An 11,921-nucleotide genomic window follows, 5' to 3' on the forward strand; every position below is an offset into this window, starting at 1 on the left:
GTTTCCTGAGGCCTCCCCAGAAGCAGAACCCTGTATAGCCCTCAGAATCATGAGCTGATTAAATCTCTTTTTAAATAAATTACCCAATCTCAAGTAGTTCTTTATAGCTGTGTGAAAATGGACCAATACAGAAAATTGGTATCAGAGAAGTGGGGCATTGCTATAAAGATACCTGAAAATGTGGAAATGACTTTAGGACTGGGGATCAGGCAGAGGTTGGAACAGTTTGGAGGGCTCAGAAGAAGATAGGAAGGTGAGGGAAAGCTTGGAACTTCCTAGAGACTTGTAGAACTGTTGTGGCCAAAATGCTGGTAATGATATCGACAGTGAAGTCCAGGCTGAGGTCTCAGATACAGATGATGAACTTATTGGGAACTGGAGTAAAAGCCACTCTTGCTATGGTTTAGCAAAGAGACTGACGGTATTGTGCCCCTGCTCTAGGGATCTGTTGAACTTTGAACTTGAGAGAGATGATTTAGGGTATTGAGCAGACAAAATTTCTAAGCAGCAAAGCATTCAAGACATGGCCTGGCTGCTTGTAACAGTGTATGCTCATATATGTTTGCAAAAAGATGATCTGAAATTGGAACTTATATTTAAAAGGGAAGAAGAGCATAAAAGTTGGAAAATTTGCAGTGCGGCCATGTGGTAGAAAAGAAAAGCCCATTTTCTGTGGAGGAATTCAAGCCAGCTGCAGAAATTTGCATAAGTAAAGAGGAGCCAAATGTTAATAGCAAAGACAATGGGGAAAATGCCTCCAAGGCATTTCAGAGACCTTTGTGGCAGCCCCTCCCACCTAGACCTCCTGGAGGCCTAGGAGGGAAAAATGGTTTTGTAGGCCAGGCCCAGGACCCCACTGCTCTGTGCAGCCTTGGGACATTGTGCCCTGCTTCCCAGCTGCTCCAGCTCCAGCCCTGGCTAAAAGGGGCCAAGGTACAGCTCAGGCTGTTGCTCCACAGGGTGCAAACCAGAAGCCTTGGTGGCTTCTATGTGGTGTTAAGCCTGAGAATGTGCAGAGGTTGAGTTGAAGCGTGGGAGCTGTATTAGTCCATTTTCACACTACTGATAAAGAGTAGTATGAGACTGGAGACTGGGCAATTTACAAAAGAAAGAGGTTTAATGGACTTACAGTTCCATGTGGCTGGTGAGGCCTCATGATCATGGCAGAAGGCAGGGAGGAGCAAGTCATATCTTACATGGATGGCAGCAGGCAAAGAGAGAGTTTGTGCAGAGAAACTCCCGTTTTTAAAGCCATCAGATCTCATGAGACTTATTCATTATCGTGAGAACAGTGCAAGAAAGACCTGCTCCCATAATTCAATCACCTCCTGCCTAGTTCCTCCCATGACATGTGGGAATTGTGGGAGTTACAATTAACATGAGATTTGGGTGTGGACACAGCCAAACCATATCAGGAACCTCTGCCTAGATTTCAGAGGATGTATAAAAATGCCTGAATGTCCAGGCAGAAGTCTGCTGCAGGGGCAGAGCCCTCATGGAGCACTTCCACTAGGGCAGTGCAAAGGGGAAATATGGGGTTGGAGCTCCCACACAGAGTTACCACTGGGGAACTGCCTGGTGAAGGTGTGAAAAGAGGGCCACCATCCTCCAGACCCCAGAATGTTAGATTCACTGACAGCTTTCACTGTGCACCTGGAAAAACCACAGGCACTCAATGCCAGATCATGAAAGCAGCCTCAGGGACTGTACCCTCCAGAGCCACAGGGGCAGAGGTGTGTAAGGCCTTGGGAGCCCACCTTTTCTGTCAGTGTGGCTTTGATATGAAACATGGAGTCAAAGGAGATTAGTTTGGAGCTTTAAGATTTAATGATTGCCTTGTTGGGTTTTGGACTTGCATGGGGCCTGCAGTCCCTTTGTTTTGGCCAATTCCTCCCTTTTGGAATGGGAGCATTTACCCAATGCCTGTATCCCCATTGTATCTTAGAAGTACCTTGTTTTGATTTTACAGAATTATAGGCAGAAGGGACTTGTCTTGTCTCAAATGAGACTTTGGACTTGGACTTTTGAGTTAATGCTGGAATGAGTTCAGACTTTGGGTGACTGTTGGGATGGCATGATTGTGTTTTGAAATGTGAGAAGAACATGAAATCTGGGAGTGTCTAGGGGCAGAATGATATGGTTTGGCTCTGCACCCCCACCCAAATCTCATGCTGAATTGTAATCCCCAGTGTTGGGGGAGAAACCTGGTGGGAGGTGATTGGATCATGGGGGCAGATTTCCCTCTTGCTGTACCTGTGATAGTGAGTGAATTCTCATGAGATCTGGTTGTTTGAAAGTGTGTAGCACTTCTCTCTCTTTCTCTCTTTCTTGCTTTCTCTTTCTCTCTTCTGCCAGCCATGTGAAGATGTGCCTGCTTTCCCTTTGCCTTCCACCATGATTGTAAGTTTCTTGAGGCCTCTCCAGAAGCAGAAGCCTCTGCAGCCCACAGAACCACGAGACAATTAAACCTATTTTCTTTATAACTTACCCAGTCTCAGATATGTCTTTATAGCAGTGTGAGAATGGACTAATACACCAGCACTCAAAGAAAATCTCAGAAAGTTCCCAGAAGTAGAAACTGACCAGGCCACATTCTCTAATTAGGACCCAATAAACTGGAAATTATGGATACACCTTTGAACAAACAAAAAACTCTTCCAACATACTAATCAGAACATTAAAAGTCACTTTCTTAAATAAAAATTATCAAAGAGAAAATAAAATATAATTAAACATGGAAATAAAGAAAATAATTAAAATAAGACTTTTATGCATAAAAATGTCAGTTTATCCCCAAGCAGAAAGCAAAAGTAAATTAACACCCTTGCAATTTTCATTAACTAACAAGAAAGAAGAAATGAGGTACAAATAGAAGACATTAAAAAAAAAACTCTAACACAAAAATATATATTATTCTACAACTTATTTCCCCCATCCCCTCCCCACCACTTAACATTTTATAAATACTTTTCCTTTTTAGGACATATGGATATCTTTTATTTCTTTTATTAAAAGCAGAACATTCTATAGAATATAGTACTATAAATTATTTAAACCATCCTCAAAATGTACATTTAGGTTATTTCCATGTTTCTTCAATTACAAGTAGTGCTTCAGTGGGCATCCTGTTAGATATTTTTTTGCAACGTGCAAGTATTTAAATAGAAAACATCTCTAGCTTTGTAATTGCTGGGTCTAATGATGTATTCATTCAAAATATTAATAGCTATTGTAAATTTCTCTACAAAGGTGATATTGACTTAAATTCCTCTCATCACTGTATGAATGTTCATGTTCCTTTATACTGTCACCAACAAAAGATAGTCTCAATTTTTTGCCAACTGGTAGATAGTAAAGTGCCAATATATTTTTGTTTTTATTGCATTTTTCCTAATTAACTTGTATGGCTGAACATTTTAAACCAGTTAAATTCCTTCTATGAATACCTTGCCCATATCATTTACATGCCTTTGTCCCTTATTTTTTAAATTAAATTTAATTTTTTTATTTTTTATTTTTTGAGATGGAGTCTCGTTCTGTAGCCAGGTTGGAGTGCAGTGGTGTGATCTTGGCTCACTGCAACCTCTGATTCCCTGGTTCAAGCGATTCTCCTGCCTCAGCCTCCTGAGTAGCTGGGATTACAGGCATATGCCACCATGCCCAGCTTTTTTGTATTTTTAGTAGAGATGGGGTTTCACCATGTTGGCCAGGATGGTCTTCATCTCCTGACCTCGTGATCCACCCACCTTGGCTTCCCAAAATGCTGGGATTACAGGCATGAGCCACCATGCCTGGCCTTTTCAATATGTTTTTGAGACTTAGTCTCACTCTGTTGCCCAGGCAGAGGTGCAGTGGCTCACAATCTTGGCTCACTGTAGCCTCAACCTCTGGGGCTCAAGCAGTCCTCCCATCACAACCTCACCAGTAGCTGGGACTGCAGGTGTGTGCCACCATGCCTGGCTAATATATTTTTTAGTTTTTGCAGAGACAAGGTCTCACTATATTGCCCAGCTGGTCTTGAACTCCTGGGCTCAAGCTATCCTCTTGCCTCAGCCTCCTGAAGTGCAGGGATTACAGATGTGAACCACTGTGCCCAGCCTGTCTTTTTCTTATTTACTTGTAATGGTGCCTTATGTAGAATAGATTTTAGCTCATTGTTGGTAATATATGTAGATAGAGTGCCTTTTGCCATTTAGAAGTTTATGTGACCAAATCCATTGTTTTATTCTAATGAAGTTTTATCTATTTTGAGTATTATTTATTTTGAGAGGAACTTCCCTACACCAAGCAATGTAAATGTTTTCCTTTCTGTTTTGTACATATTTTTAATTTTAAAAACATTTAGATTAATCCCCCTAGAATTAATATATGTGTATTACGTGAATGAGTGAAATGAATTTTATTGTATTTTCCCATAGGAAAGCTGACTTTCTGTGTAGTAAAAGAAATCATAAAGAAAAGGTCAGGCTGGGTGCAGTGGCTCACGCCTGTAATCCCAGCACTTTGTGAGGCCAAGGATGGCAAGTTGCTTGAGCTCAGGAATTGGAGACCAGCCTGGGCAACATGGCAAAACCTGGTCTCTACAAAAAATACAAAAATTAGCCAGGTGTGGCGGCTCATGCCTTTAGTCCCAGCTACTTAGGAGGGTGAGGTGGGAAGATCACTTGAGCCCAGGAGGTTGAGACTGCAGTGAGTTGTGATCATGCCACTGCACTCCAGCTTGGGCGACAGAGTGAGAACCTGTTTCAAAAAACAAAAAAGGCCAATAAATTTGGCTATAAAAATTTTAAAACTTGTATACCTCAGAAATAACAAGCCAAATTAAGAGTGTCAATCATAAGAGTGAAAAAAAAATCTGCCACAAACATGGGAGTTAATGTCTTTAGCAATCAGAAAAAGCAAACTAATAAAAGTGAAATAAATTATGCCTTACTGAGCTCCAGTGATGGGACTAGGGGCGGGGAGGGTGTTGGTCTCAAACAGGAGATAGTCTGGGCCTTCTGGCGGGGGGACTCCAAGACAGGGGCTGGAAGCCTAATGCTGTGTGTCCAACCTGGCCAATGAGTCTCTCTTTTGTGTCCCTTGGATTCTGAGCAACGCAAATGTGTGTGGTGGTGCACTGTGCTGAGCACTTTGTCCCTGGGGCATAGTGAGATTTTAAAGGATTCTCTATGGGATCTGAAGAAACAAGGTGAGTGGATAAGGAGGTTAGTGAAAAGCATGAGTCTGAAATGCTTTTGCTGCTCATGTGAAAAGATCCTGCAAAATAACCTAGCTCTGGGTGGTGTCATCTCACACGGGGAGCACTTATCCTGAGTGCATAGGACTGTCCCCCAAAGCTGTCCTGAGGCACCCTGTGGGTCAGCTCAGGGCCTCCTCCTGGCTGGTTGTCCTGCAGACCCCCATCTCACAGGCTTGGACCCCACAAGTCAAGTGGGGCTCATCCCCATCCCTCCTTAGGCTCAGAAATTACCTTTGTACCTAAGTTTGGTGCTCACAAAGCTGTGCAGAACACCCCATCGGTACATTCCCAAGCTTGTCTCCCAAAGGGTCCCCAGGTGAGTCACCCATTGTTGTGCCCTGGTGAGTCATATTTCCCTGGTGGGACCAGTTCTCTTCTGAACCCCAGTCCGACCTTGCAGTCCCCACTCCTTGGGGCCCCTGCTGCATAGGACCTTCCGCCATGCCCTCCATTAGACTCTCAGCACTGCCGGCTCCTGGCCTTAGCCCTGCCCCCAGGTTTGTCACTAGAGATGGATAGCAGCTCCAGTGGGGGCTTGAGTCCTCTCCAGTGAGGTGGGTGAGGCTGCTGGCCAGGCCTGAGCAGGGTGGACCCTTAGTTCCAGGCCTGGCCACTTGAAAGGCTTTGTTTGTCCCCAGGGCAGGCCACCTGGAGTCCAGAGTCACACTGAGTATGTGGTTGGGGCCAAGGGCTGAACACCAAGGGCAGGGAAGGATGGAAGGGGCAGCAAGTGCAGGCACCCTTCCCCTGGGCATCATAGGGTCTTGGCTCCAGATTTGCAGAAGGCCCCAGAACCCCCAGAATTCCAAGAATGGGCCTGGTGGGAGGGCGACAAAGAACTTGACTCAGACGATGATAAATGAAAGATGATGAGAACAGTCCTCTTGGCTCAAAAGCAAAATTCACATTTCTGATTATGACTTTGCAAGTACCAGCATTTTAGTGGTTCTCAAACAAATTCATTTAAAGAAATTTGTTGAGCACCTACCCTCTGCCCTGCAGATAGCAGTGAACAAAACAGCAATTAGATAGACAACAGAGACTTGGAAGGGTGAGAAGTGGGACAGGGTGGAAGATGAAAAATTACTTAATGGGTGCAATGCATGTTATTCGGGTGCTGGCTACCCTAAAAGCCCTGGCTTGATCACAATGCAATTAATGCATGTAACAATTGCACTCGAACCCCATACATTTATACAAAAACCCCCAGTCCTCACTGAGTCTCAGTATCCCCCCCAGTGTGGCTGTCTGTCCCCAAAGATCACCAACCCCGTCACTCACCCAGGCGGGCGGCGGGCAGCATGGCCTGCAGGTGCCAGAGACACCGGCCACCAATACCCACAGCTCCCTGCCCCCTCCCGTGGGTCTGCCTGGCATCTCAGAAGGGACCCGTGGAACCTTCTGGCTAGAAAGCAAACCAGCTCCTTTCTTCTAGCTTCCAAACATTCGTTTAAAGAAGTTGGACATACTCATGAATTTATTTCAGAAAATTTAGATAAGCACAAAAAGGAATACATAGAACTTACCTATAATACCACCACTCAGAGGTAAGGATAGTGCATATCACGGCAACTATACCAGTTACTTCCACATACTATACAATACTAGAAATAAAAATTACCTCCTGGAATGCACACACACACACACACACACACACACACACACTCATTTATATGACAAAGTTGGGATCATACAATTCATGTTATTGTTTAGCTTGCTTCTTTCATGTAACAGTCCAGCGGAGGATAATTTACATCCATGGTCCTCTGTGGCATTTCTAATGCCGCTTTATTGTGCCCCTGAACACCTTGGGTATCCATCAAAGCCCTTCTCACAGTGCAGCAGAGTTTTTCACAAGTGCATATTTGCCCCCAGGCTGTGAGTACAGTGAGGACTGATTCCACATGCTAGTTACATCCCCTGCCCTTAGTACAATGTCTACTATGTACTAATAATATTGATAACCAACAATTATTGAGCAGTTAGTGTGTGCTAGATTTTTAAAAGTCCCTCTTGAAGCAATGACCCCCAATTGCAACAAGTATGCTCTGTGTCCAGAGCTTGGTTTATAATACCGTTTTCCAATAAAGGGAAACAGAGTTGCTTACAGCAATGGGCAATTCTGGGACTGGGGCAGGAAATATACAAGACGAGCCTGGAGGATCTGGTAGTGCCAGGAAGGAAGTCAGTGCTCAAAAAGCAGAATGCTAAGGCTATGTTAAAGGAACACAGGAAGGAACTGAAAGACCTCCCAATGGCCAAAGCTAAGAACAAGTCAATAAAAAAAAGCACCGAATTAAGACTTAAAGTGTAAAACAAATACCCATGAGTCCATGCTGATATAGATGGCTGATTAAATAAATGGAGGAGGAAAGGCACATCTTGCCTGCAGAAGAATTCTAAATAATCTACGTAGACACTCCACCCTCCAGGAGGTGCCGCCTAACTCCCAGCTGAGTAAGTGTGGGCTGTGCAGAATGACTTCCTTCCAGAGAGGACAGCCTGGAAAGAGGGAAAAAGAGTCACTTTACATCGGAGAAACCTGACAAACACTATCTCAACCAGGCGATCAGGGTCAACAATGATCTATGCTGTGGACATGCTGAGAGTATGCACTGTTGATATGATATCGTGTGAACGGAACCCCAAGCCCCTTAACCCCAATCTAATCATCAGAAAAACGTCAGAAAAACCAACCCAAGTTGACAGACATTCTACAAAACAGCTGACTAGTACTCCTCAAAACTGCCAAGGTCACTAAAAACAAGGGAAGTCAGAGAAGACATCACCAAGAAGAGCCTAGGGAAACAGGAGGACCAGATGTGATCTGGGATCCTGGAGCAGGAAAAGGACGTTAGTTAAAAATGAAAAAAAAAAAATGGGAATAAACGAAGGGCTTCAGCTGATAATAGTGTATCAATATTGGCTCACTGGTGGTGCGGGGTGTGCCACACTCATGTAAGATGTCGGCAACGGGAAGGATAACCTCTGTACTACCTGCAACTTTTCTATAAAACCATTCTAAGTAAAAACTTTAAATTTATTTATTTTGAGACAGAGTCTCGCTCTGTCGCTGGAATGCAGTGGCGCGATCTCGGCTCACTGTAAGCTCCGCCTCCTGGGTTCACGCCATTCTCCTGCCTCAGCCTCCCGAGTAGCTGGGACTACAGGCGCCCGCCACCACGCCCGGCTAATTTTTTGTATTTTTAGTAGAGACGGGGTTTTACGGTGTTAGCCAGGATGGTCTTGATCTCCTGACCTCTTGATCTGCCCGCCTCGGCCTCCCAAAGTGCTGGGATTACAAGTGTGAGCCACCGCGCCTGGCCTTAAGTTTATTTTTAAAGAGTGCCTTTCATGGATTCTCCCATTTAATTCTCACATAGTCCCGTGGGGCTCTATGTCCTTCTGCATTGAGGAAATAGGGCACAGGGCTGAAGGGCTTTGCGCAAGCTCCTGGGGGAGCAGACTGCTGCGCTGGGCCTGAAACTGCAGCCCGGCCCCAGGACCTTCCCTCAAAGGGAAGTGCCCACGAATATTGAGGAGGTGGGCTCTTTGCTTGCAGACCAGTTCATCATACCACAGGCTGCCTGAGAGTCTGCGGCCCTGTCCCGTGCTGCCTGCGGAAGCCCGCAGGGCCCGCGTGGGAGGAGAGCCTGGGCTTGGAAGCCCCGCCAGCGAGGGCATGCCCTGCACAGAGGAGGGAGTGTGGAAAAGCGAGAATGAAGCTGTTTTCCTTCCCAAATTAATATGGAACAAGGAGCAGCTTAATCACACTTTGGGTTCAGTGATGTCTCCAGTTGCCACAGTAATCAGAGGCGGCCTTTACAAATAGATTGCATTTGACCTTGTTGGTTTGATGGACGGGAGTGGAGTCCGGCCGCGGACGGCGTCCCTTCCAGGGCCGGCCGCCAGAGGGCGAGCGCGCCTTCCCGGGCGGGGCGGGGACGGGACGGGGACGGGGAGGGGACGGGACGGGGACGGGGAGGGGACGGGGACACGGACACGGGAGGCTTCCGCTCGCCCGCGGGTGGCGTCTCTGCTCCCACTAGAGCGGGCCAGGCCTCTGGGTTCCGTTTCTCAAGCACACAGGGAGGGTGGCCGCGGGCCAGGGGCGGCCGCGAGACTCCACGTCCACGTCCCGGGCAGTCCCTCCGGAGGTTGGGCCGCGCGGCCCGGGGAGCGGAGCGCTGCGCTTCTCTGCGAGCACCCCGGGGCCTTTAGGCGCCCCCGTTTCCTCGTCAGTGGGGGGCGCGGTGCCGCTTCTCCGCGGGCTAAACTGCTGAGGAAGGGGCGAGTTCCTGCGGCCCCTGCCTGTCCCGGCCACGCCCCACCTCCGCCCCGCCGCGTTGCGCGTTCCCGCGGGGCCCCGGGCACCCCTGGGGCCCCGGGGATCTCTGACGCCCCCTTCCCTCCAACCCCCGCTGCGATCCCACAGGTGGGGTGAACAGCGCCCCTGCTGTCCCACGGGGCGTCTTCGCGGGTGATGCCCACACTCTCAGCCTGAAGAGCAGGACCTGTCCGCGGGTGGGGCCCACCCCCAGGCTTCCGGTGCCCGCGCGGCCTCCAGGGCGCCTCCCCCGGGCGCATCCTCCGGGCCTGGCAGGGAGCGCAGCCTGGGAGTCAGGGGCGACTGGAGCCCACCTGCTCAGCGCCCACCGCGGCGGCCCTGCCCTTTCCCCCGGGAGCAGCAGGGACAGCCTTGGAGCAGCAGCTCCCGCAGGGGGAGGAATGGCGCAGTGGCCCGAGGCTCTGGAGCTGGCCCCCTGCTCGCCCGGGGCTACCTCGGGGAAGCGCAGAATTCGCACCTTTCTTCTCCAGCTCCACGCACCCCTCATGGAACCTTAGCGAGGCCCAGGGCAGGGGATGCTGCCAGGCCGCTGCCAGGCTCTGACGCGGTTGCGGATGCCTCGCCCGGTCTCTCCGGAGGTGGAGGAGTGGCACCCCTGGCTGTGCACTGCGGTGCACCGGTGTCTGCTCAGGGCATTCTCCACCTTGCCCTCCATCCCCTCAGGGTCAAGTGAGGAGGGAGACAAATATCCCACCTTCAGAAACAGCCCTGAGAAACGTTTATTTCCAGGGGACAGTGCGATTAGACCTCTCCCGGCGCGGTGTATTTCTGTGCTTAATATTATTATTTATACATCAATATTGACATCCAGCGTCCATTGATACGTGGCATGCGTAGGTGCTAAGAAGCGCCAGCTACATAGCATGCTTTATTTATGTGCGGTAAATATTTAAAGACTCCCATGTGTTTCGATTGGAAAGTGCGTATTACTGGACAATTTCGTTTCAAAGCTTTCTCTCTGATGTAAGGTTTATTAAGATGTATGAGGTGGCTGCGGTGGCCTGATTGAGAGCCCATGAAAGTCCTGAGAAATAAAATTCTGCTGCTGCGGCCCAGGGAGTCGGCCTTCCACAGTCCCGTTTAGGAGCCGGGGCTCTTCTCCGTTATTAAGACGTGGTAGTTTGCTCTGCATGAATTACCAGCTGTTTGGTATTGCCTGAGAGGGACGGGGTGGCTAGTTTGAAAAGTCAGTTTGCAGGTTTTCCACGATGGCAGAGGTGCCACCTGTGTCACCAGCCGGCGGGGCTGGGAGTTCATCTAGCCCGGGCTATGGACAAGGCCGTGTGCGTCCAGACGGGGCCGCCAGAGGGCGCGCGTCTGCGGCCGCGGGAGGCCCAGCGGGGCCTGAGAAGTGGGCGGAGCCAGCCCCGGCCGGAGGAGCTTCTTGCTTGCAGGTGTCAGCGGCAGCAATTTCAGGCAGGGTGGCCAGGCTGCTCCCCGAGGACAGCATCTTGGAGGAATTGCTTTCATTTCCTCCCAGCTAGTCCCTCTGCCCAGCACTTGCCGGCAGCTTCTTCCATGAGGGCGGAGTTCTGTCTGCAGCCCCAAGGGGCGTTCTTTGAGGCTGTAACTAGCATCCAGGGAGAGATGGCTCACATCAGTGGAGGGTGCGAGGTGGAATCAGGTCGCTCATGACAGAGGCTGCATTCAAGCCAGAGCCCCACTGCTTTGCTGTGGGTTGAATTGCATCTCCCCTCCCACCCCTCTAAAGATATGTCCGAGTCCTAAGCCAGCACCTCAGAACGGGACCTTGTTTTGAGCAGGTTGTTTGCAAATTTAATTAGTTACGATGAGGTCATACGGGAGTAGAGTGGGTCCCTGGGTCCTTAACCCAATGGCTGGTGCCCTGATAAAAAGACAGCCCTGCAAAGACACAGAGACACACAGGGAGAACGCTGTGTGACGGTGGAGGAAGAGACTGGAGTCGTGTGGCCACAAGACAGGGAGCTCCTGGTGCCACCAGGAGCTGGAAGAGGCAGGAAGCGTCCTCTCCTAGAGGCCTCAGAGGAAGCAAGGCCCTGCTGACGCCTTGGTTTTGGACTTCTATCTCCTAAGCTGTGAGACAATGAATTTCTGTTTTAAGCCACCCAGTTTGTGGGACTTAGTTATGGTGCCCCAGGAGACAGGCACAACAAACGGGGAAAGAAAACGCAGCCACTGCCTGAGAAGGAGGCTGTGTGTCGGCTGTGGAGACACCAGCGCAGCTTCCCAGGAATTGGTTAGATCTTGGCCTCCTTTCCGTGCAGTGGTGGAAATAAGAGGAATGGAAGGCTGCTGCCTTGGGAGTGACGGCTCTGGGATTGGCCCCACCGGGCGGTGGGTGGATGGGGC

The 11,921-nt window shown here is 49.1% G+C and overlaps 6 annotated features.

Annotated features, from left to right (window-relative positions):
* Positions 417–925: an enhancer, noted in NCBI's record as "NANOG-H3K27ac hESC enhancer chr10:129999872-130000380 (GRCh37/hg19 assembly coordinates)". NCBI's record gives its function as "activates a minimal SCP1, AML or CMV promoter by ChIP-STARR-seq in naive and primed H9 embryonic stem cells {active_cell/tissue: H9 hESC(naive and primed)}" and the evidence as "EXISTENCE:reporter gene assay evidence [ECO:0000049][PMID:30033119]".
* Positions 926–1,433: an enhancer, noted in NCBI's record as "NANOG-H3K27ac hESC enhancer chr10:130000381-130000888 (GRCh37/hg19 assembly coordinates)". NCBI's record gives its function as "activates a minimal SCP1, AML or CMV promoter by ChIP-STARR-seq in naive H9 embryonic stem cells {active_cell/tissue: H9 hESC(naive)}" and the evidence as "EXISTENCE:reporter gene assay evidence [ECO:0000049][PMID:30033119]".
* Positions 8,297–8,858: an enhancer, noted in NCBI's record as "H3K4me1 hESC enhancer chr10:130007752-130008313 (GRCh37/hg19 assembly coordinates)". NCBI's record gives its function as "activates a minimal SCP1, AML or CMV promoter by ChIP-STARR-seq in naive H9 embryonic stem cells {active_cell/tissue: H9 hESC(naive)}" and the evidence as "EXISTENCE:reporter gene assay evidence [ECO:0000049][PMID:30033119]".
* Positions 9,058–9,247: a silencer, noted in NCBI's record as "silent region_2934". NCBI's record gives its function as "represses an Ori minimal core promoter by ATAC-STARR-seq in GM12878 lymphoblastoid cells {active_cell/tissue: GM12878}" and the evidence as "EXISTENCE:reporter gene assay evidence [ECO:0000049][PMID:35858748]".
* Positions 9,338–9,497: a silencer, noted in NCBI's record as "silent region_2935". NCBI's record gives its function as "represses an Ori minimal core promoter by ATAC-STARR-seq in GM12878 lymphoblastoid cells {active_cell/tissue: GM12878}" and the evidence as "EXISTENCE:reporter gene assay evidence [ECO:0000049][PMID:35858748]".
* Positions 10,827–10,976: a silencer, noted in NCBI's record as "silent region_2936". NCBI's record gives its function as "represses an Ori minimal core promoter by ATAC-STARR-seq in GM12878 lymphoblastoid cells {active_cell/tissue: GM12878}" and the evidence as "EXISTENCE:reporter gene assay evidence [ECO:0000049][PMID:35858748]".

This window comes from Homo sapiens, chromosome 10 (genome assembly GCF_000001405.40).
Source record: "Homo sapiens chromosome 10, GRCh38.p14 Primary Assembly".
Lineage (NCBI taxonomy): Eukaryota > Metazoa > Chordata > Mammalia > Primates > Hominidae > Homo > Homo sapiens.